At 42.7% G+C, this 25825-nt stretch overlaps 1 protein-coding gene across 7 annotated transcripts in view; it reads right to left on the reverse strand.

The window, feature by feature from the left end:
- RBL1 (RB transcriptional corepressor like 1) overlaps nt 1-25825 on the reverse strand; it is a 99649-nt gene that overhangs the window by 53985 nt on the left and 19839 nt on the right. For 5 of the 7 annotated variants that reach the window (XM_047440348.1, NM_002895.5, XM_047440349.1 and 2 more), the window contains 9 exons: nt 17653-17853; nt 16900-16964; nt 16660-16788; nt 16391-16551; nt 15091-15140; nt 11751-11937; nt 10770-10936; nt 5813-5925; nt 5220-5323 (listed from right to left, as the gene is read on the reverse strand). In XM_047440348.1, coding sequence (XP_047296304.1) covers nt 5220-5323; nt 5813-5925; nt 10770-10936; nt 11751-11937; nt 15091-15140; nt 16391-16551; nt 16660-16788; nt 16900-16964; nt 17653-17853 — 1177 coding nt within the window. Of the gene's footprint in view, nt 1-5219; nt 5324-5812; nt 5926-10769; nt 10937-11612; nt 11938-15090; nt 15141-16390; nt 16552-16659; nt 16789-16899; nt 16965-17652; nt 17854-25825 lie in introns of all 7 variants that reach the window. The other 2 variants (NM_001323282.2, NM_001323281.2) reach the window with 2 other exon arrangements.

The following is a 25825-nucleotide window of genomic DNA, read 5'->3' on the forward strand; positions in this document are numbered from 1 at the left end:
GAGATCGAGACCATCCTGGCTAACATGGGTGAAACCCCATCTCTACTAAAAATACAAAAAAATTAGCCAGGTGTGGTGGCTGGCACCTGTAGTACCAGCTACTTGGGAGGCTGAGGCAGGAGAATGGCGTGAACCTGGGAGGCGGAGCTTGCAGTGAGCTGAGATTGCACCACTGCACTCCAGTCTGGGTGGCAGAGCAAGACTCTGTCTCAAAAAAAAAAAAAAAAAAAAAAAAAAAGGTACAATAAAAGAGATAAAGAAATGGAAAACAAGAGAAGAAATTAAGAAGGTCAATTCAGAAGGTCCATCATCTGAAAAATGAAAGTTCCAGAAAGATAAATCAGTGGGCAATGTACCATCTAAGAAATAACAAAATAAAACGACCAAGAACTGCAGGGCATGAATTTCTAGACTAAACGGGCAAGTCTGTGGGAATGACAGACACATGAATGAAAAAAAACACAGTAAGATACATTTTTATAAATTTAAGAACATCAGTGATAAAAGATACTCAAAGATTTCAGAAAAAAAAAACAGGTCACATACTACTAAGTGGGAATGAGAATGTCACTGGACTTCTCATTAGTAACAGTGGAATCTATAATAGAAAATAATGCAACAGTACCTTCAAACTCATAAAGGAAAATGATTGTCAATCTAGAATTCTTTTCTTTTTTTAAGTTTTTTTTTGTTTTTAGGGATGGGGTCTTGCTATGTTGCCTAGGTTGGAGGACAGTAGCTATTCACAGTGCAATCATACTACACAGCATACATACAATACACAGTATACTACAACCTCAAACTCCTGGGCTCAAGCAATCCTCATGCCTCAGCCTCCCACAGATCTTTTTTTCTTTTTTTTTTCTGAGATGGAGTTCGCTCTTGTTGCCCAGGCTGGAGTGCAATGGCGTGATCTCAGCTCCTTGCAACCTCTGCCTCCTGGGTTAACACAATCCTGCCTCAGCCTCTCCCAAGTAGCCGGGATTATAGGCATGTGCCACTACACCTGGATAATTTGGTATTTTTTAGTAGAGACAGGGTTTCACCATGTTGGTCAGGCTGGTCTAGAACTCCTGACCTTAGGTGATCCACCTGCGTTGGCCTCCCAAAGTGTTGGGATTACAGGGGTAAGCCACAGCACCTGGCCTCTCCCACCAATCTTGAATTCTGTACATAGACAACTATCAATCAATTATGAGTCTAAAATAAAGTTACTTATGCAAAATCTTTAAAAAGGGACTTTAAGTGAGGTAAGATTTCTATACTTTACTTAAATTGGTTATATGGCTATACAAAACATCTATACAAAAAAAAATCTTTACAAGGCTCTAAAAAATGTTCAAGTAACCAACAGAGAGGGAGGAAAAAGAAAACAAAATTAAAAAAAAAAGAGTGAGAACAAACAGAAAACAAAAATAAAATGGCAGACTTAAGTGCTAACATAACAATTACTAATTTTAAGTCATCTAAATTTACTAATTAAATGACAGAGATTAGCACAGATTAGAAAAAAAAAAATGACCCAACTACACACTGACTATAAGAAATTCACTTCAAAGGTCACTTGAAAAAGGATGGAAAAAGATATGCCATGCAAACATTAATGAAAAGAAGGCAGGAGTGGTTATTCATAAACATCAGGTAGATGCAAAGAAAATTACCAGGGACAGAGAGGAACATTTTATTTATTTATTTTATTTTTAAGTTTTTTTTTTTTTAGATAGAGTCTCGCTCTGTTGCCCAGGCTGGAGTGCAGTGGTGCAATCTTGGCTCACAACAACCTCCACCTCCCAGGTTCAAGAGATTCTCCTGTCTCAGCCTCCCGAGTAGCTGGGATTACAGGTGCACACCACTATGCCTGGCCAATTGTTGTATTTTTAGTAGAGATGGGGTTTCACTATGTTGGCCAGGCTGGTCTCAAACTCCTGACCTTGTGATCCACCCGGCTTGGCCTCCCAAAGTGCTGGGATTACAGGCGTGAGCCGCCGTGCCCAGCCTTATTTATTTATTTATTTTGAGATGCAGTCTCTCTCTGTCTTCCACGTGGGAGTGCAGTGGTGTGATCTCGGCTCACTGCAACCTCTTCCTCCCGGGCTCAAGCGATTCTCCTGCTTCAGCCTCCCGAGTAGCTGGGATTGCAGGCGCCTGCCACCATACCCGGCTAATTTTTGTATTTTCATATATTTATTTTTTTGAGATGGAGTCTCACTCTGTTGCACAGGGTGGAGTGCAGTGGTGCGATCTTGGCTCACTGCAACTGCCACCTCCTGGGTTCAAGCGATTCTCCTGTCTCAGACTCCTGAGTAGCTGGGACTACGGGCATGCGCCACCACGCCTGGCTAATTTTTGTATTTTTAGTTGAGACGGGATTTTGCCATGTTGGTCAGGCTGGTCTCGAACTCCTGACCTCAGGTGATCCACTTGCCTCAGTCTCCTAAAGTGCTAGGATTAGAGATGTGAGCTACCATGCCCAGCCTTTTATATTTTCAGTAGAGACAGTGTTTCACCATGTTGGCCAGGCTGGTCTTGAACTCCTGACCTCAGGTGATCCACCTGCCTCAGTCTCCCAAAGTGCTGGGATTACAGGCATGAGCCACTGCGCCTGGCCAGGGAGGAACATTTTATAATGATTACAGAGTCAATTCATCAAGAAGGCAGACAGCAATCCTAAATGTGTAAGCATCAAACAGCAGAGCTTCAAAATACGTGGAGAAAAGCTGACAGACTTGAAAGAAATAGACAAATCTACAATCATACATGGACACTTCAACATCCTCTGTCAACAACTGATATAACAACTAGACTGGAAATCAGCAAGAATATAAAATAACAACATCAACCAACAAGATAAAACTGACATTTACAGAACACTCCATCCAACAATAGCAGAATACAGCAGATCCTTGAATAACACCATTTCGCTCAACACCAGTTTGTTGTAACAATGAAAAATAATGGATTCCCAGCTGGGGCCACTGTATGAAATTTACACATTCTCCTACGTCTGCATGAGTTCTCTCTGGGTACTCTGGTTTCTTCTTACATTCCAAAGATATGTACATTAGCTTAACTGGCATATCTAAATTGTGACAGTGTAAGTGTGGGTGTGTGTGTGTCCTATGATGAAATGGTGTCCTGACTAGGGTTGGGGCCCGCCTTTCATCGTGAGCTGCTGAGGTAGGCTCTCATGACCCTGAACAGGAATAACTGGATAAGTAATAATCTTCCTTATTTTTATTACTTTCTCTTATTTATTTCAATGTTTAACATTATAAGTGTTTTGTCTTTATTTAGAAGTTTGGTGAGGTTTTTGTGACTAGACATATGCCAAAAGAACTTAAACTCCTGTTTATATCAGTTAGCCTATGGTAAAATTGGTTTCATTGTATGTTGTTTTTGCTTAAAGTCACTGTTTCCAAGAACCTACTGACAAGGTTAAATGTGAGGATTTACTGTATACATTCTTTTCAAGTGGCCACAGAACATTCACCATGATAAAACATATCCTGGGCTACAATATAACTAAAACAAATTGAAAAGAACTAAATTCATACAGAGTATGTAGAAGTGGAAAACAATAATGGCTGAGAGGAGTAAGTGTAACTAACTATAAAGGGGTAGCAGGAAGGAGATCTTTAACAGTTCAGTATTTTTATTTTGGTTATGGTTAATCTATGCATATGATACAATTTTATACACACACACACACACACACACACACACACTGTTTTAATGTCAATTCCCCAGTTCTGATACTGCAGTATATAAAATTGTAACCATTAGGGAAACTGGATAAAGGATGTGTGGGACTTCTCTGTACTACTTTTGCAACTTTCTGTGAATCTATAATTATTTCAAAATAAAAAGTTGGCCAGGTGCAGTGGCTCACACCTGTAATCCCAGCACTTTTGGAGGCTAAGGCAGGTGGATCACATGGTCAGGAGTTCAAGACCAGCCTGGCCAAGACAGTGAAGCCCCGTCTCTACTAAAAATACGAAAAAATTAGCTGGGTGTGGTGGCAGGCGCCTGTAATCCCAGCTAGTCGGGAGGCTGAGGCAGAGAACTGCTTGAACTCGCGAGGCGGAGGTTGCAGTGAGCCAAGATCGCGCCACTGCACTCCAGCCTGGGTGACAGAGCGAGACTACATCTAAAAAAATAAATAAATAAAATTAAAAAAATTAAAATAAATAAAAGTTAAAAAATTTACTTCTTTCAGCTGGGTGAGGTGGCTCATGGCTGTAATCCTAGCACTTTGTGAGGCTGAGGTGGGCAGATCACTTGAGGTCAGGAGCTCGAGACCAGCCTGGCTAACATGGTGAAACCCTGTCTTTACTAAAAATACAAAAATTAGCCAGGCGTGGTGGCGGGCGCCTGTAACCCCAGCTACTCAAGAGGCTGAGGCATAAGAATCACCTGAACCCAGGAGATGGAGGTTGCAGTGAGCCGAGATCGTGCCACTGCACTCCAGCCTGGGCAACAGAGCAAGACTCAGTCTAAAAAAAAAAAAATTTACTTCTTTCTCAGGAAGCCATGGAAGTGTATGCACCATCAAGATATTAGCGTAAACTATGAAAAAGAAAGACACAGAAAAGAGAAACCAACACAGAAAAGACATGAAAAAAATTTCCAGGTAAACACAAAGAGAAACTCTATTACAATAGTTACGCAGCATCCTTAAGACATCAACCTGTTCCTATTGGGATAGAAAAGTTAGAAGACTCCAAGAGTGACTGCAGAGGGAAATAATGAAGGAGGAGGAAACAAAGATCATATGATAGGTCTGAATTTGTAGAAAAATTCTTTTACACATCTTATTGGAGACAGTGGTCTGACTTGGTCATAGTTAAAGAAACAAAACAAAACAAGAAAAACCCATACCATTTTATAATCCAAAATCCTTGGAAGGTATGGACAAATGTCTTAATTAACAGTTGCTTTAACAGGTGGAGGGATCACTAGCTGGGAATGAAGGACAGAAAAAAAAAAAAAAAAAAAAAACACTTAAAAAACACTGATGTGTACCAAAGATGAACTTTACGTTATTTCACATTTCTGCCTAGATTGATTAGCCTTGCATGTGCTAAAGTCAACTAAATGCCATCCTGGCCAAGTGTGTCATAGATTGGTGACTCCCACAACGCCTTACAGAGCCTCTCAAAACACTGCTTCCAGGCTGACTTTTGGACCTTGCCAGTAGCTCAGAGAGTGGATTTACTTACTGACATGTCCATTCCATGAAGTCTTCGTGTTTCCTGAACCATTACAGTCTCTAGTATTTTATAATACAAAATTTCTGCCAGCTTTAGTCTGTTTACAGCAAAGTCTATCAGGGAAATACAGAGAAAACATGTGTTAATGAATTTTAGTTGTTAAGGACTGAAAAGCAAAAATTATATATAAACTTAAATCTGATACATTAAGAATAGCAGGGCAGGCCGGGAATGGTGGCTCACGCCTGTAATCCTAGCACTTTGGGAGGCCTAGGCAAGCAGATCACCTGAGGTCCGGAGTCTGAGACCAGCCTAACCAACATGGTGAAACTCCATCTCTACTAAACATACAAAATTAGCCGGTGTGGTGGTGGGTCCCTGTAATAGCAGCTACTTGGGAGGCTGAGGCAGGAGAATCGTTTGAACCTGGGAGGAGGAGGTTGCAGTGAGTCGAGATCATGCCATTGCACTCCAGCCTGGGCAACTCGGTCTCAAAAAAAAAAAAGAAATAAGAATAACGGGAGAGGAAAAACCGTGAATTTCTAATTTTGGGGGGATTACTTATTTTCAATGCTATGCCAACTGTAGTTTTCTTTTCTTACCTATGTGAGATCCTGGCTGTTCATCTGTTGATTGAGTATAGTGTTGACAGAAAGTCTCTCCTATTCCTTTTAGTATTTTCATAATGTTTTCCACAGGATTACGCACACAAGATCTACAAAATACAAGAGGAACCAATTACCAAACCAAACAAAAACAAACAAACAAAAAAGACTCCACACCAGAATACTAACATGCCTTCTTCTTCTTTTTTTTTTTTTTTTTTTTTGAGACGGAGTCTCGCTCTGTAACCCAGGCTGGAGTGCAGTGGTGCGATCTCAGTTCACTGCAACCTCTTCCTCCAGGGTTCAAGCGATTCTCCTGTCTCAACCTCCCAAGTAGCTGGGATTATAGGCGCGCACTACCACACCTGGCTAATTTTTGTAGTTTTAGTAGAGATGGGGTTTCACCATGTTGCCTAGGCTGGTCTAGATCTCCTAACCTTGTGATCCACCCACCTCAGCCTCCCAAAATGCTGGGATTACAGGCATGAGCCACCATGCCCGGCCAACATGCCTTCTTTCAAGAATTAGTTTTTAGCAGCCAAAGTTGTATTCTCAGTTGGAAATCTACATATGTAAGCAAAGCTTTATATGATAAAATATTTTAACACGTAAAATTATATAATAAAAATACAGATTGTATACACATGTAATAAAACTTTGCTGCTGTAAGTTTGACTATACTATGTACCTTATATGAGTGGAATCATGCAGTATTTTGTCTTTTTGTGATTGACTAACTTCACTTAACATAATGTACTAAAGGTTCATCCATGTTGTAGCAAATGGCAGTATTTCCTTCTTTTATAAGGCTGAATAATATTCCATCTCATATCTCTATTTCTTTCTATCTATCTATCTACCTACCTACCTACCTACCTACCTACCTACCTACCTACCTACCTATCTACCTATCTACACACACACACATACACCCACAGCATTTTCTTTCTCTATCAATGGACACTTAAGGTGTTTCCACAACTTGGCTATTGGGAATAATGCTGCAGTTAACATGATGTGCAAATATCCCTTTGAGATGCTGTTTTTAATTCTTTTGGATGTATACCCAGAAGTGGTATTGCTGAGTTATATGGTAGTTCTATTTTTAATTTTTTGAGGAACGTCCGTACTGTTTTCCATAGTGGCTGCACCACTTTACAATTCTACCAACAGTGTGTAAGGGTCCCAATTTTTACACATTCTTACCAACACCTGCTATTTTGGTTTTTTTGGGGTGATGAGTGGGAAGTGGCTATGCTGATATGTGAGGTATTATCTCATTGTGATTTTGATTTGTAACTCCCTGATTAGTGATATCAAATATTTTTTCATATGCTTTTGGCCAGTTGCATATACTCTTTGGAGAAATATCTGCTGAATCCTTTATACGTTTTTAAATTGAGTTATTTGTTGTTCTTGAGTTTCAGGAGTTCTTTACATATTCTGAGTATGAACCCCTTAACTAATATATGGTTTACAATTACTTTTCCCATTCTATAGGTTGTTTTTTTTACTCTGTTGATTGTTTTCTTTGCTATGTTAAAGCTTTTAGGTTTGACACCGGGCATGGTGGCTCACATCTATATTCCCAGCACTTCGGGAGGCCAAGGTAGGTGGATCACTTGAGGCCAGGAGTTGGAGATCGGCCTGGCCAACATGGTGAAACATGTCTCTACTAAAAATACAAAAATTGGCCAGGCCTGTTGGCTAACACCTGTTGTAATCCCAGCACTTTGGGAGGCCAGGGTGGGTGGATCACCTGAGGTCAGGAGTTCGAGACCAGCCTGACCAATATGGTAAAACCCCGTCTCTACTAAATACAAAAAATTAGCCGGGCGTGGTGGTGCATGCCTGTCATCCCAGCTACTCAGGAGGCTGAGGCAGGAGAATCGATTGAACCTGGGAGGCGAAGGCTGCAGATCGGGCCATTGTACTCCAGCCTGGGCAACAAGGGCGAAACTCTGTCTAAAAAAAAAAAAAACAAAACAAAACAAAAAAAAAAAAGCCTATTCCAGGGTTCACTATTCCTAGTCAGGGACGTCTAGTTATATGAGGATCTCTCCCCAAATCTTCATGGAATGTTGGAAAATGGCAGCCCTTGGCTCATGCCTGTAATCCCAGCACTTTGCGAGGCTGAAGCAGGCAGCTCATGAGGTCAGGAGATCGAGACCATCCTGGCCAACATGGTGAAACCCCATCTCTACTAAAAATATAAAAATTAGCTGGGCATGGTGGCAGGCGCCTGTAGTCCCAGCTACTTGGAGGCTGAGGCAGGAGAACTGCTTGAACCTGGGAGGTGGAGGTTGCAGTGAGCCAAGATCATGTCATTGCACTCCAGCCTGGCAATAGAGCAAGACTCCGCCTCAAAAGAAAAAAAAAAAAAAAAGGAAAGAAAGAAACAATGACCAGGTTTTATTTGTTTTGTTTTTTTGTTTTTGTAGAGATGAGGTGTCGCTATGTTGCCCGGGCTAGTCTCAAACTCCTGAGCTCAAGCAATACACCCACCCTGGCCTCTCAAAGTCCTGGGATTACAGATATGTGCCATTGCACCTGGCCTCTAATATGGATATCTTAACAATATTAAGTCTTCCAGTCCACAAACACAGATGTCTTTCCTTTTTTTTTTTTTGTTGAGATAGGGTCTCGCTCTGTTGCCCAGGCTAGAGTACAATGGTGTGATCATGGCTGAGCTCAAGTGATTCTCCCATCTCAGCCTCCCAAGTAGCTGGAATGCATATCACCATGACTAATTTTTAAATTTTTTCTGTAGAGACAGGGTCTCATCATGTTGCTCAGGCTGGTCTTAAACTCCTGGGCTCAACTGATCCTCTCGCCTCAGCCTCCCAAAGTGCTGCAATTACAGGCATGGGCCACAACACCCAGCGTTTCCATTTATTTGTGTCTAGATTTTTTTTCTTTTGCATTCTATACTTCCTTTTTCTTATTGACATATTTGTATATTTGCTTTGTCACTGCTTTTCAACTTATTCATGTTTGAACAGTAGTTCAATCCAGATCTATTTACTCAAATGATATGGAAGGTAGATCCGTGACAGTCTTCCTATCTTACTGGCAGTATGCTTTTCTTCTGAGCTATTTCTGAGGCTGGAGATTGTTCTGTCTACTTTCTTGTATCCTGAAGGTTTGAGGAATGGGGGAGAGCTCAGCTATGTTCAGCTTTTCTTGGAGGACCAGGGCTTCGCTTTGTCTTCTGAGATTTAGTTAAATATTCCTATTCTAGGGTTCACTATTCCTAGTCAGGGACGTCTAGGTATATGAGGATCTCTCCCCAAATCATCATGGAATGTTGGAAAATGGCAGCCCTTGGCAGTTGTTCTGCTGGGATCCTGCTGGTGGTACATACGGACTTTCAATTGGGAAGGTTTGTATGACTTTTTATCTGTCTGCCTACTCCCCCATTTGTTTCCCTCCAAATCTGAAGTATTGATGAGAATTCTCAAGATCTATCACTATACCCTCTTTCCCCAACACTGCTTAGGGATGGGAATACCAGAATCATGAATTTTCTTTTTGATCTCTACTTTGGAAATTTGTCATGAAATCATATCTCTCTCCTCATTTGGTTGCCATTGATAAATATTTTGCTGGTTTTGACTATTCTCTTATTTTATTAGGTATTAGGAAAGAAGGTTCTCTGATCTGGCTTCATTCTACCATCTTTACCAGGAATCATGCTTCCTTAAAAAACAAAAAAAAAAACTGTATAAAATTCCATTTTATGGGCTGGGCGCGGTGGCTCACGTCTGTAATCCCAGCACTTTGGGAGGCCGAGGCAGGCGAATCATCTGAGGTCGGGAGTTTGAGACCAGCTTGACCAACATGGAGAAACCCTGTCTCTACTAAAAATACAAAATTAGCTGGGCGTGGTGGCGCACGCCTGTAATCCCAGCTACTCGGGAGGCTGAGGCAGGAGAATCACTTGGACCTGGGAGGTGGAGGTTGCAGTGAGCCGAGATCATGCCATTGCACTCCAGCCTGGGCAACAAGAGTGAAACTCTGTCTCAAAATAAATAAATAAATAAATAAATAAATAAATAAATAAATCCATTTTTATGGCTGTACCACCAATATGCAATTAGTCCCCTATCTAATGGACATTTAGAATGGCCCCATTTAAAGTTAATGTATGTCCTTATACAGGTGATCTTTAGAAACAAACAAAAATAAAAATAAATTAAAAATAAAGTCAATGTAAAATCAAAACATGCATAACTCAGGGGTAGTTATAAGAGTGAAATATCAGTGCTAAATAATCTTTAAGGTACACTTATCTCTAAAAGTCTATACTCCCATGAAATAACATTATATATAATTTTTTTTAAGAGACAAAGTTGGCCTGGCATGGTCGCTCATGCCTGTAATCCCAGCAGTTTGGAAGGCCGAGGCAGTTGGATCACTTGAGCTCAGAAGTTCAAGACCAGCCTGAGCAACATGGCAAAACCCTGTCTCTACAAAAAATATAAAAAATTAGGCATGGTGGCTTGCACCTGTAGTTCCAGCTAACTTGGGGGACTGAGGTGGGAGAGTTGCTTGAGCCCAGGAGGTGGAGGCTGCAGTGAGCTGTGATTGCGGCACTGCACTCCAGCCTGGGAGACATAGCGAGACCCTGTCTCAAAAAAAAAACAAAAAAAAAGGGAGAGATAAGGTCTCCCTATCTTGGCCAAGCTGGAATTAGTCTCACTATGTTGGCCAAACTAGCTTCCCAAGTAGCTGGGACTACAGGTGTGTGCCACTGTGCCTGACTGTTATACATAATTTTTAATAGGTACTTCAATATGGTTTTAGGTCAATATATTTTGTGATTGAAATGGTATAGTAAAACTTGCCAGATGAACATCCACTATCTTGAGAATTCTGAATATACTAAAAATAGAATGGAACAAGAAATCTAATTTTAAAAAGACATTTGGAAAAATAACAGTATTGTACATACTCAAAAATATTTATAAGTTGGTCACTTGGTGCATTTTTCAGACCAGCCACAATACTCTGTAACCGGCTCACACTTTGGGTGGCTGATGCAACAGGAGTAATGACTGCTTCTTTTTCTCGTAAATATCTCCGTCCGGTCAGTGGGGTAGAAGGTGCAAATGACCTTTTCTGTCAGAAAAGAAAAATCCGTGAGTTTTTAAAAGTTACCATCTTCCTTATTATGTGTTTAATTCAGTGCATATACCATCTTCTCTATTCATATTTGTAATATCCATGAAATTTTTAGCAATACTATGCTAATAACATCCTTATATTTGAATAACACTTTTTAAAAGCACTTTCTACATATAATTTCATTTAATCTTCACACCACTGATTTGAAAGATAATGTATACATAATTTAATTTTATATATGAGGAAATAGGAACAGAGAAATTTAAAAACTTATTTCAGTTGACAAAGTTAATGGTAAAGCTTGGACTAAAACTTAGGTTTTACTATGTTCTAGACAAGTGAATTTTCCATTAGATCTCTTCCTCCAACCCATTTTACACATAAATACAGAGTTAAGCCTTGGCCATTAACAATCAAGTCCAGAGTTTTATGGCTGAAGTTACAGAAAAACACATAGTTTGTGTCACGGGTAGGAAAGCAAACTAAAATTTAAAGCAACGTAACGGAGCCTAAGTTGAAGCAAAGAAAGAACTGTAAGAAAGCAAAACTTCCTCTTCATGTCAAAAGACATATACTCTACTAATAAACCCAGTCATGCTGGGAAAATGGATATAAAATATGAATAGTAAGAAATGAGGTAAAAATACTAAATGCCAGTTTTAAAAATTACCTTTTAAGGCTTTCATGAGAAATATGAATTAGTAGAAGAAGCTCAAGATTTAACTTGAAAGATGCTTCTGCTGTTAGTAGAATCACACACAGAGAGAAAAAGATCATTCAAGATTGAGGCCAGGCTAGGTTATATTACTTTTTCAAAGTGCTGTTGAAGGTTATACTCCACATTAGCCTGTGCTGTCAGTTTCCCTAATGGGGTGTCACGAGTGAACTTTCGAGGTGTTCCAATTTCCTCTTCTGCGTCTGCTCCCAAAAAGATCCTCTCATCAAAATCACCAACAGTTAGAACATACTCTTCATACTCCTTATTCACTGCTTTGCTGCAAAGAGAATTATTATAAGCTGTAATACTAAGTTACACAATGGATTTATTTTGACTTGAAGATAGATTTAGTGTTTACAGCTTAGAAAACTTGACAACTTTCTAATTTTTATTAACTCTGACCATCTAACAATATCAGAGGGTCCTACCTGATTATGGACATTCTTCAAATTCATATATACAACCAATAAATTACTTTCAAAAGTGAGAGACTACATATACTTAATCTGAAAACTAGTTGAATCTAATTATGAAAATGGTTTCTGATCACTAAGGAAACACTAGTGGCTTTGAAATATGGCAGGTGGAGGTTGCAGTGAGCCAAGATTACACCACTGCACTCCAGCCTGGCAACAGAACAAGACTCTGTCTCAAAAAAAAAAAAAAAAAAAAAAAAAATGGGCCAGGCGCGGTGGCTCACGCCTGTAATCCCAGCACTTTGGGAGGCCGAGGCGGGCAGATCACGAGGTCAGGAGATCAAGACTATCCTGGCTAACACGGTGAAACCCCATCTCTACTAAAAATACAAAAAATTAGCCGGGCGTGGTGGCGGGCGCCTGTAGTCCCAGCTACTTGGGAGGTGCCTGTAGTCCCAGCTACTTGGGAGGCTGAGGCAGAAGAATGGCATGAACCTGGGAGGCGGAGCTTGCAGTGAGCTGAGATCGCGCCACTGCACTCCAGCCTGGGCGACAGAGCGAGACTCCGTCTCCAAAAAAAAATATGGGCACTGCCAACATGTGATTAATGAAAGAATGTAAAATCAAATACAGAGTCATTGGGTCTGTTTATGAGTTTCTCAAGAGAGTGGCTGTTTTTTGTTTTTAAGACAGAGTCTCACTCCGTCACCCAAGCTGGAATGCAGTGGCCCAGTCTTGGCACACTGCAGCCTCTACCTCCCAGGTTTAAGCAATTCTCCTGCCTTAGCCTCCTGAGTAGCCGGGACTACAGGCTTGTGCCACCATGCCCGGATAGTTTTTGTACTTTCAGTAGAGACGGGGTTTCACCATGTTGGCCCACCTTGGCCTCCCAAAGTGCTAGGATTATAGGTGTGAGTCACTTCGAGCTTGGCTGAGTAGCTCTTTTAAATGCCATTTGGCTGGGTGTGGTGGGTCATGCCTGTAATCCTAGCACTTTGGGAGGCTATGGTGAGAGGATTGCTTGAGGCCAGGAATTAGAGACCAGCCTGGGCAACACAGTGAGATCCCATCTCTAAAAAAATAAAAATAAATACGTGTCAATGATTTTTTTTCTTTAATTGAGATGGAATCTCGCTCTGTTGCCTAGGCTGGAGTGCAATGGTGTGATCTGGGCTCACTGCAACCTCCGCCTCCTGGGTTCAAGTGATTCTCCTGCCTCAGTCTTCCAAGCAGCTGGGATTATAGGTGCACGCCATCACACCCAGATAATTTTTGTATTTTTAGTAGAGATGGGGTTTCACCATGTTGGCCAGGCTGGTCTCAAACTCCTGACCTCAAGTGATCAGCCCACCTCGGCCCCCCAAAGTGTTGGGATTACAGGAGTGAGCCACCATGCCCGGCCTCTTTCTTTTTTTCTTGTTTTTTTTTTTGGAAATAGGGTCTCACTCCGTCAAGCAGGCTGAAGTGCAGTGGTGCAATCATGGCTCACTGCAACCTCAACCTCCCAGATTCAAATGATCCTCCCACCTCAGCCTCCCAAGTAGCTGGGACTACAGGCTCACGCCACTACGTCTGGCTGATTTTGTATTTTTTGTAGAGACAAGGTTTCACCATGTTGCCCAGGCTGGTCTCCAACCTTCTGAGCTCAAGCGATCTGGCTGCCTTGGCCTTCCAAAGTGCTGGGATTACAGGTGTGAGCCACTGTGCCCGGCCTTAATTTCTTTTCTTTCTTTTTTTTTTTTTTTTTGAGATGAGTCTTGCTCTGCTGCCCAGGCTGGAGTGCAGTGGTGCGATCTCAACTTACTGCAACCTCCACCTCCTGGGTTCAAGCGATCCGCCTGCCTCAGCCTCCCAAGTAGCTGGGACTACAGGCGTGTGCCACCACACCGAGCTAATTTTTGTATTTTTAGTAGAGACCGGGTTTCACCATTTTGGCCAGGATGGTCTCAATCTCCTGACCTCGTGATCTGCCTGCCTTGGCCTCCGAAAGTGCTGGGATTATAGGCATAAGCCATTGCACGCCTGGCTGAGTAGCTGTTTTAAATGCCAATTGGCCGGGTGTGGTGGGTCATACCTGTAATCCTAGCACTTTGGGAGGCTATGGTGAGAGGATTGCTTGAGGCCAGGAATTAGAGACCAGCCTGGGCAACACAGTGAGATCCCATCTCTAAAAAAATAAAAATAAATACGTAAGTATCAATAATTTTTTTTTTTAATTGAGATGGAATCTCGCTCTGTCGCCTAGGCTGGAGTGCAGTGGCATGATCTCAGCTCACTGCAGCCTCTGCCTCCTGGGTTCAAGTGATTCTCCTGCCTCAGTCTCCCAAGCAGCTGGGATTACAGGTGTGCACCACCACACCCAGATAATTTTTGAATTTTTAGTAGAGATGCGGTTTCACCATGTTGGCCAGGCTGATCTCTGGCCAGGCTGATCTCAAACTCCTGACCTCAAGTGATCGGCCCGCCTTGGCCTCCCAAAGTGTTGGGATTACAGGCGTGAGCCACCATGCCCGGCCTCTTTCTTTTTTTTTTTTTTTTTGGAAATAGGGTCTCACTCTGTCACCTAGACTGAAGTGCAGTGGTGCAATCACGGCTCACTGCAACCACAACCTCCCAGATTCAAACGATCCTCCAACCTCAACCTCCCAAGTAGCTGGGACCACAGGCTCACACCACTACGTCTGGCTGATTTTTGTATTTTTTGTAGAGACAGGGTTTCACCATGTTGCCCAGGCTGGTCTCCAACCTTCTGAGCTCAAGCAATCTGCCTGCCTTGGCCTTCCAAAGTGATGGGTTTACAGGTGTGGGCCACCGTGCCTGGCCTTGATTTCTTAAAATAAATGTATTTAAAGCCAACAAGTCTTAGTGATAATAAACATTCAATGCCACTAAAGCAGAGAGAACTTGAATTTGGAGGTCTTACTTTGATATACTGTTATGCTTAACAAATTTCAACAAATCAACAAATATGACAGCTTGTGATAAGCCAGGCACCATTAGTACTAGATATTTACCTATTATCAGTAAAACTTGAAAGGTCCAGGAGGCATTCTCCTTTTAATATCTGTGAACAAAAAATTATTTTGGGACACCATATAATTAAGCATATTAATACACACACAAACGTGAAATTTATCTAAATTTCCATATTGTTATAACACACACACAAAACAGAATTATTAAATATTTCTTTCAGACTAGGATAAACTATTTAGCATGCAAATAACTTTTTTTTTTAACTTTTTTTTTTTTTTGAGACAGGGTTTTGTTCTGTCACCAGGGCTGCAGTGCAGTGGTACAATCATGGCTCACTGCAGCCTCAGCGTGCCAAGTAGCTGGGACTACAGTTGTGCACCACCATGCCCAACTAATTTTTGTATTGTTTGTAGAGACAAGGTTTTGCCATGTTGCTCAGGTTCGTCTGGAACTCTTGGGCTCAAGCAATCCACCTGCCTTGGCCTCCCAAAGTGTTGGGATTACAGGCGTGAGCCACCGCGCCCAGTCCCTGGGATCCTTTAAAAAAAGTTTACTTTGCTAGAGATGTTTAGCATACAGACAATGGGCCATAATATAGATATCTGAGGAACACAAGACTGAATACAAAAATTTGTATAAAAGAAGAAGAAACCAGTAAGGGAAGAATTTATGCTTAAAGAAAAATCTCATAATATTTGAAAAGTGGGATCCATAATCCAAACCCCTCCTTTTACCAAAGAGAAATCTTGAGGCTTAACTACATTTAATGGCTCGACGTTGGGGAAATAAGAAATTGAAACCCAAAGGAACAAGCCAATTCATAAATGTAGAAATAGCTAAGTTAATTACCAAGGAGACAATGTCCAGAATGCACACAGATAGCCTACAAGTGGCTACAAAACTATCATGGATTTTCTGCTCGATTTACATGGAATTAAAACTGTGGTTGTTATACATCATCCTACTTTTAGTCAACAGTCAGCAGTTATTCAAATTGTGGCAGTAAATTAGTCAGCTTATTCTGACCTCCTGTTTTTCCTAATTATTTGTCAGCCCTACTCTGATGTTCTATTCTTTACAATTCTTTATCAGTACCTCCTACGGTTGCCTCTGACAGTACATTTACCCAACAGTACATATAGTTGGTCACATTTTTCAACAGCTCTGTTTCTCACATCACACAAGATCATAAGGAAATTCTGAATCACAGTAGAGGCTAAAGCCTGGGAATCCTGACCCTAAGTTCTATAATGCTGAGAACTTGCTTAAAACATTTTTTTCTTTTCACATTACTGGTGATCTGTAAACATCTCAGTCATCTAATTATAAGTACAGTACCTTCCTGTCAAAGAGTTTTGAAATATATGGCTTAAAGTAGTGCTCCTTTATTCCTTTTGCTTCTACGAGAAGTCCATCATGCAGTTCACACAGTACAGCAATGATGCAGGGTGGCTCTTCAGAAGCCGTAAAGTCAGCAGTATGAAAATCAGATGGTAAACCTAGTTTGACAGTGTAGGAAGGGCAGAGGGAAAAAAAAATAGTCAACTTTTAAAAATCTTTTTCCAAAAACTGATAATCAGTTTTCAAAAATAAATAAAAGGTCTTACCTTTAAATGATGGATTTAGCAAGTCTTGTCTATTTGGGCACATAATCGCATTGGCAAAAATCAGATCCAAGCAGCATAGAAGTAAATGATAAGAGTTTACTAAGTCATCCCCAATCATCCGAAAATTACCTTTATAAGGGAAAAAAAAAAAAAAAAGACACAAAAACCAGAAACCTCTCATGTCAAATAGCACCAAGTTCCCAGAGTAGAAATGTAAGACCACTGAAAGTGTCATCTTACCCTTAGTATAAACAAAAAGTGTCCAACAGAAATTAAACAGATCCTTAACACTGCAAGGAATCCTCCTAAAAAGGGAAAAAAATTACTTTTTGTCTGACTAGCTCGCTAAATATCATGTAAACTGAAATAGTAAATGTAAATATCAAATAGATCAAATTACACATGAAATTCCATTCATGAAGAAAAGTAATCTATTATTTATGAAATGGACTTAAGTAAGCCTTTCCAACCTGCATAAAATAATCAGAACATAGGGCTGGGTGTGGTGGCTCATGCCTGTAATCCCAGCACTCTGGGAGGCCGAGGTGGGTAGATCACCTGAGGTTAGGAGTTCGAGACCACCTTGGCCAACACGGTGAGACCTGGTCTCTACTAAAAATACAAAAAATGAGCCAGACGGGGTGGTGCACACCTGTGATCCCAGCTACTCAGGAGGCTAAGGTAGGAGAATTGCTTGAACCTGGGAGACAGAGGTTGCAGTGAGCCGAGATCAGGACACTGCACTCCAGCCTGGGCAACAGAATGAGACTCCTCAAAAAAAAAAAAAAAAAAAAAAAAACAACAACAGAAAGAAAAATAAGTAAAAGTATTATCCTGAATTTCCAAATATGGATAATTGTACATGGATTTAAAAAGAAAATAATTAAGTTCTTTGCAGGAATACTTTTCATAAAAAACAGACTTTCAAAAAAGTATATTCTCTTAGTTTGTATCATAATCTTTATGTCAATTATATAAGGATTAAGGGCTCACCTCTGCTTCCGGCTTCGTGGTAACTTTGGTGGTTCTTCATATGGATTTTGAAATATATCTAAAAAAATTGGCTCATATTTTTTGAATATTACAGTAGACACCTCAAAATTTCTCTCTAGCCTTTCTATACGTTCACGAAATTCTTGTGGTAGATTTGACATGTCCATCCATTTCTTCATTTTACTAAAAAATTGTATTAAACTAAAAAAAAAAAGGAGGAGAAAAAAGGCACCTTTAAAATTCATTTAAATAATGGATTGAAAGGAAATATTCTATTCATGACTAAGACTCTTTATTAAAAAGCCAGATTTCCCAGGCAACATAGTTAAGACCCCATCTCTACAAAAATTTAAAAAATTAGCTGGGTGTGGTGGCATGTGCCTGTAGCCCCAGGTACTTGGGAGGCTGAGGTGGGAGAATTGCTTGAGCCCAGGATGTCGAGACTGCAGTTAGCCTCAATCATGTACTCCAGCCCGGGTGACAAAGCAAGACACTGTCTTACATGAACAAAGAACAAACACCATCCCTCAAGCCTAAATTTAATTAAAAAAAAAAAGTCCTCACTATGAAATCACTTTCGTTCCCAGGATCACCAGGGGAATACAGGTTATTAATTAGTGGTCATCACATAGAGTTTACTGCTATGGAGGGAGCGAGAGCACCTATCTACTTCCTTTATTCTCTATATTACCTAGACAATATTTTGCATAAAATTTACAAAGTTAATGTTAGTTAACAGATTGACAGGTTATAAAATTAGTTTGAGATCACCTGAGATCGGGAGTTCAAGACACAGCCTGAGCAACATGAAGAAACCCCGTCTCTACTACAAATACAAAATTAGGAGCTCTCCCTCTCCCTCTCCCCACGGTCTCCCTCTCCCTCTCTTTCCACGGTCTCCCTCTCATGCTGAGCCGAAGCTGGACTGTACTGCTGCCATCTCGGCTCACTGCAACCTCCCTGCCTGATTCTCCTGACTCAGCCTGCCGAGTGCCTGCGATTGCAGGCTCGGGCCGCCACGCCTGACTGGTTTTGGTGGAGACGGGGTTTCGCTGTGTTGGCCAGGCCGGTCTCCAGCCCCTAACCGCAAGTGATCCGCCAGCCTCGGCCTCCCGAGGTGCCGGGATTGCAGACGGAGTCTGGTTCACTCAGTGCTCAATGGTGCCCAGGCTGGAGTGCAGTGGCGTGATCTCGGCTCGCTACAACCTCCACCTCCCAGCCGCCTGCCTTGGCCTCCCAAAGTGCCAAGATTGCAGCCTCTGCCCAGCTGCCACCCCGTCTGGGAAGTGAGGAGCGTCTCTGCCTGGCCGCCCATCGTCTGGGATGTGAGGAGCCCCTCTGCCTGGCTGCCCAGTCTGGAAAGTGAGGAGCGTCTCCGCCCGGCCGCCATCCCACCTAGGAAGTGAGGAGCACCTCTTCCTCGCCGCCATCCCATCTAGGAAGTGAGGAGCGTCTCTGCCCAGCCGCCCATCGTCTGAGATGTGGGGAGCGCCTCTGCCCCGCCACCCCGTCTGGGATGTGAGGAGCACCTCTGCCCGGCTGCGACCCCGTCTGGGAGGTGAGGAGCATCTCTGCCCGGCCGCCCCGTCTGAGAAGTGAGGAGACCCTCTGCCCGGCAACCGCCCCGTCTGAGAAGTGAGGAGCCCCTCCGCCCGGCAGCCGCCCCGTCTGAGAAGTGAGGAGCCTCTCCGCCCGACAGCCACCCAGTCTGGGAAGTGAGGAGCGTCTCCGCCTGGCAGCCACCCAGTCCGGGAGGGAGGTGGGGGGGGTCAGCCCCCCGCCAGGCCAGCACCCCCATCCGGGAGGGAGGTGGGGGGGTCAGCCCCCTGCCAGGCCAGCCGCCCTGTCCGGGAGGGAGGTGGGGGGGTCAGCCCCCCGCCCGGCCAGCCGCCCCGTCCAGGAGGTGAGGGGCGCCTCTGCCCAGCTGCCCCTACTGGGAAGTGAGGAGCCCCTCTGCCCGGCCACCACCCCGTCTGGGAGGTGTGCCCAACAGCTCATTGAGAACGGGCCAGGATGACAATGGCGGCTTTGTGGAATAGAAGGGCGGGAAAGGTGGGGAAAAGATTGAGAAATCGAATGGTTGCCGTGTCTGTGTAGAAAGAAGTAGACATGGGAGACTTTTCATTTTGTTCTGTACTAAGAAAACTTCTTCTGCCGTGGGATCCTGTTGATCTGTGACCTTACCCCCAACCCTGTGCTCTCTGAAACAAGTGCTGTGTCCACTCAGGGTTAAATGGATTAAGGGCGGTGCAAGATGTGCTTTGTTAAACAGATGCTTGAAGGCAGCATGCTCCTTAAGAGTCATCACCACTCCCTAATCGCAAGTTCCCAGGGACACAAACACCGCGGAAGGCCGCAGGGTCCTCTGCCTAGGAAAACCAGAGACCTTTGTTCACTTGTTTATCTGCTGACCTTCCCTCCACTATTGTCCTATGACCCTGCCAAATCCCCCTCTGTGAGAAACACCCGAGAATTATCAATAAAAAATAAATAAATTTAAAAAAAAAAACATAAAATAAAATAAAATTAGTTTGAGGGAAAACAGAAGTCTCCCAAATGGAAAGACAATTCCATTTTCCAAATGGGAATTTGATTACAAAGCACCAGATTGTTACAGGTTAGGAGTAAAATTCAAGAGTTTGAGTTCCAATGTGTGGTTCCACAACCAAAAGTAAAGAAGGTAGCACATACTCAGAAAAAAACTTAATAGTTCTGGTGCCCAGGTTGGAGTGCAGTGGCACCACCTTGGTTTACTGCAACTTCCACCTCCTGTGTTCAAGCAAGCCACCGTGCCCAGGCCAATTCTGGGTACATTTTTTTATGTCCCTATGTTAACGTGGTCTTAGATAGAAAACTTGTCATGTCAAAGCTCACTTAATTAAAGGTCTAGCAATATATACAGAATAATACTTGTAATTTTTTTTTTTTGAGATGGAGTCTCAGTCTGTCACCCAGGCTGGAGTGCAGTGGCATGATCTTGGCTCACTGCAACCTCTGCATCCCAGCTTCAAGCAATTTTCCTGCCTCTACCTCCTGACAGCTGGGACTACAGGTGCACACCACCATGCCTAGCTAATTTTTGTATTTTTAGTAGAGACAAGGTTTCACCATGTTTGCCAGGATGGTCTTGAACTCCTGACCTCAGATGATCCACCTGCCTCGGCCTCCCAAAGTGCTGGGATTACAGGCATGAACCACTGCACTCGGCCCTATGTTCTGATTATTTCATGTAGATTGGAAAGGCTTACTTGAGTCCATTTCGCCTGGCCAATACTTATAATTTCTTTTTAAGGTGACAGAAGACATTAATAGCAAATCATCCAAAGCTATTTAATGTGGTTTGGATGTTTTGTCCCCTCCAAATCTCATGTTGCAATGTAATTTCCTTGGCTGGGCATGGTAGCTCATGCCTGTAATCCCAACACTTTGGGAGGGTGAGGCTGGAGGATCACCTGAGCCCACCAGTTTGAGACCAGCTTGGGCAACACAGTGAGATCTCGTCTCTACAAAAAATTTAAAAGTTAGCAAAGCATGGTGGTGTGTGACTGTGGGCCCAGCTACTCAGGAAGCTGAGGCAGGAGGATCACTTGAGCCTGAGGGGTTGAAGCTGCAGTGAGTCATGAACATGCTACTGCCTGGGCAAGAGAGTGAAAGCCCGTCTCAAAAAAATAAAAAAGAAACGTGACCTCCAATGTTGGAGGTGGGCCTAGTGGGAGGTGTTTGGGTCATGGGAGCAGATCCCTCATGAATGGCTTGGTGCTCTCCTCATGGTAGTGAGTTTAGTTGTCACTCACCTGAGATCTGGCTGTTTAAAAGTGTGGCACTTCCCACCCTCAATTGCTCCTGCTCTCATCATGTGATGTGCCTCCTCCCCCTTCACCTACCGTGACTGTAAACTTCCTGAGGCCCTCACCAGGAGCAGATGCCAGCCCCATGCTTCCTATACGGCCTGCAGAACCCTGGGCCAAATAAATCTCTTTTTTTAAATAAGTCACCCAACCTCAGGTATTCCTTCATAGCAACGTAAAACGTCCTAATACAGCATTCAAACTCTGGACATGCTGATATAATCTGAGACTCTTAAGGACCTCATTAAAAGATTCTTACCAACAGCAGCAAAAAATTTGTCAGATTACTAAATATTTTTTGGCTTACAAAAAATTATGCTCCCTTACAGAGGACTTTAAAAATTTTGTTTTTTGGCCGGGTGCAGTGGCTCACGCCTGTAATCCCAGCACTTTGGGAGTCCGAGGCAGGTGGACAACCTGAGGTCAGGAGCTCGAGACCAGCCTGACCAACATGGAGAAACCCTGTCTCTACTAAAAATACAAAATTAGCCGGGCGTGGTGGCACATGCCTGTAGTCCCAGCTACTCCGGAGGCTGAGGCAGGAGAATTGCTTGAACCCGGGAGGTGGAAGTTGCGGGGAGGTGGAAGTTGCGGGGAGGCGGAAGTTGCGGTGAGCTGAGATCGCACCATTGCACTCCAGCCTGGGCAACGAGAGCGAAACTCCGTCTTAAAAAAAAAAGACTGTTTTTATTTTTGGATGATCACATTTTGCATGTGAAACCCTCTGCTTTGAGGACATTTCCACTTTTGAGCCTTGTCTACCACTAAACAGATCAGCTTTACTGGAAGCTAGGATGAAGGCATATAATCTGATATCCTTTATCAGATACATCTGCTTGAGATTTTGAATCTGAAGCTGCTGGTGCAGAGAAGTGAAGAAGTGGTGAATTCTTAGAGCAGGATCAATCTCCTGGGGCAAATAAAGTGGCAATGTCCAGGGACAGCATTGCTAGCCATGCAAACTATGTCCCTGCTAGATGGATTCTGTGATATGCTCTTTGGCTGTGTGGCCAGCATCCTTTTGTTCCTGGCCTTTTCTAAGCGTAGTTTTCTTAAGTCATCCTAAAGATTTTATCACCTATCCAATACTTCTTTTAGGTCAGGCAAAGTTGGTAAGTGATATCTCTTATTTTTTTGAGATAGGGTCCCGCTCTGTCACTCAGGCTGCAGTACAGTGGCATGATTGTGGCTCACTGCGGGCTTGACTTCCTGGGCTCAAGCAATCGATCCTCCCGCTCCAGCCTCCCAAGTAGCTGGGACCACAGGTATGTGCCCCCACACCCAGCTAATTTTAAAATGTTTTTTAGAGACAGGGGTATCACTTTTTGTTGCCTAGACTGATACTTGCTTTTTATAAACAAGAGCCTTGACTACATCATCATATAATCCATTGTACATACTACTCTCCCAAGAATGGCTTTCCTAACCTGGAACAAAATGCATCAGGGTGTTTGAAAACAAAAAAACCTTATAGCACTGTTATAACTTAAATCATAATTACAGTTTTTAAAACTAAAATAAGAAGCAAAGTAAACTTCACAGCTTTCAATTCATTGGGATTCTGTTACAAAGAATATGCTACTGCTGGGTGTGGTGGCTCATATCTGTAATCCCAGCACTTTGGGTGACTGAGGTGGGAGGATTGCTTGAGCCCAGGAGTTTGAGACCAGCCTGGGCAACATAGTGGGACCTCATGTCTACAAAAAACTTAAAAATTAGCTAGACTTGGTAGTGTGCACCTATAGTCCCAGCTACTCAAGAGGCTGAGGTGGGAAGATTGCTTGAGCCCAGGAGGTCAAGGCTGCAGTGAGCTGTGACCACATCACTGAACTCCAGTCTGGGTGACAGAGTGAGATCCTGTCTCAAAAAAAGAAAAAAAAAAAAAAAAAGAATACACTACTCAAGTTGGGTGTGGCAGCATGTACCTGTAGTCCCAGCTACTCAGGAGTCTTAGGTGGGAGGACTGCTTGAGCTGAGGAATTCGAGATGAGTCTGGGCAACATAGTGTGATCTCATCTTATAAAAAAAATTAAAAGGCCGAAGCGGGTGGATCACAAGGTCAGGAGATCGAGACCATCCTGGCTAACACAGTGAAACCCCGTCTCTACTAAAAATACAAAAAAAAAAATTAGCCAGGTGTGGTGGCGGGCACCTGTAGTCCCAGCTACATGGGAGGCTGAGGCAGGAGAATGGCGTGAACCCAGGAGGCGGAGCTTGCAGTGAGCTGAGATCGCGCCACTGCACTCCAGCCTGGGCAACAGAGCGAGACACTGTCTCAAAATAAACAAACAAATTTTAAGCTGGCATGGTAGCTTACACCTGTAATGCCAGCACTTTGGGAGGCTGAGGCAGGAAGATAGCTTTGAGTCCAGGAGTTCGAGACCAGCCTGGGCAACATAGAGAGAACCTGTCTCTATATAAAGTTTAAAAATTAGCTTGGCATGGTGGCATGCACCTGTGATCTTAGCTACTCGAGGGGCTGAGGTAGGCAGATCGCTTGAGCCTGGGAGGTTGAGAGTGCAGTGAGCCATGATTGCGCCATTGCACTCCAGCCTGGGTGACAGAGCAAGACCCTGTCTCAGAAAAAAAAAAAAAAAAAATTTAAGAGAGAGAGAGAGAAGAGAATACACTATCCAAGCAAGTACATGAAAAGGTGCTCAACATCATTAGCCATCAGGGAAATGCAAATCAAAACTGGGATGGCTACAATAAAAAAGATGGATAACAAGAAGAATTGGCAAGAATGTGGAGAAACTGGAACCCTTGTAAACTCCTGGTGGGGACGTAAACTGGTACAGTCACCTTGGAAAAAAGCCTGACAGTTCCTAAAAAGGTTAAACACAGGGCTGGGAGCGGTGGTTCACGCCTGTAATCCCAGCCACTCAGGAGGCTGAGGCACAAGAATCGTTGAAACCTGGGAGGCGCAGGTTGCAGTGAGCCGAGATCATGCCACTGCACTCCAGCCTGGGTGACAGAGTGAGACTCTGTCTCAAAGAAAAGTTAAACATAGAATCACCATATGACTCAGCAATTCCACTCCTCTCCATATATATCCAAAAGAAAAAATATATGTCCACATAAAAAGTTGTATACAAATGTTCATAGCAACACTAATCAATAGCCAAAAGGTAGAAATAACTCATTAACTGATAAATGGATAAACAAAATGTGGTATATCTATGCAATGGAATATTATTCAACCATAAAAAGAACTGCTGATACATGCTACATCATGGATGAACCTTGACACCATTATCCTAAAGAAGCCAACACAGAAGACCACATATTATACGATTCCATTTATATGAAATGTCCAGAATAGAAAACTCTATAGAGACAGAAGTTGGATCAGTGGCTGCCAAGAGCTGGGTGTGGGGGTTGGAATACGAAGTGAATGCTAACAGGGGTTTCTTTTTGGGGTGATGGAAATGTCCTAAAATGGATTGTGGTGGTGGTACACAACTCTGTGAAAATACAAAAAACCATGGAACTGTACAGTTTAAAGGATGAATTATATGGTATGTCATAATATCTCAATAGGCTATTAAAAAATACCTCCCCACAACACTACTCCAAAGAGGTTACAGTAAATACATGTAAATATGTTAGAAATATTAATTTGTTCACTTTTTTTTTTGTTGAGATGGAGTCTCAGTCTGTCTCCCAGGCTAGAGTGCAGTGGCGCGATCTTGGCTCACTGCAACCTCCACCTCCTGGGTTCAAGTGATTCTCCTCCCTCAGCCTCCTGAGTAGCTGGGATTATAGGCACATGCCACCACACCTGACTAATTTTTGTATTTTTGGTAGAGATGGGGTTTTGCCATGTTGGCCAGGGTGGTCTCAAACTCCTGACCTCAGGTGATCCACCCACCTCGGCCTCCCAAAGTGCTGGGATTACAGGTGTGAGCCACTGCACCGGCCTAATTTGTTCACTTTTCTAGAGGCAATTTGGCAACATGAATAAAAAGCCTTAAAAATGCTCAAGTCCTTTCATCCAGAAATTACTTTTTAAAGACTCTAACCTAAGAAGAAAGTAAAAAATACAGGCAAAAATACAAAGATGCATATCATGATACTTTGTGTGAAGGTGTTGTTTTTTAATAAGTAATATGCACAAGCACAAAATTCTAAAAGTTACTAAAGCATGTATAATGAAAATTCTCTTTCTCATCACCTGCCTCCCAGTTTTTCTCCACTAAGGCAATCATGGTTGCCTTAGGGACTAATAGACTGTCACCAGGTTTTGTTTATCTTTGCAGAGGTATTTTGGGAATTTATAAACATATACCAGCATACATAATTTTTTCCACTCAAATGATGTCATA

This window comes from Homo sapiens, chromosome 20, assembly GCF_000001405.40.
Source record: "Homo sapiens chromosome 20, GRCh38.p14 Primary Assembly".
NCBI lineage: Eukaryota > Metazoa > Chordata > Mammalia > Primates > Hominidae > Homo > Homo sapiens.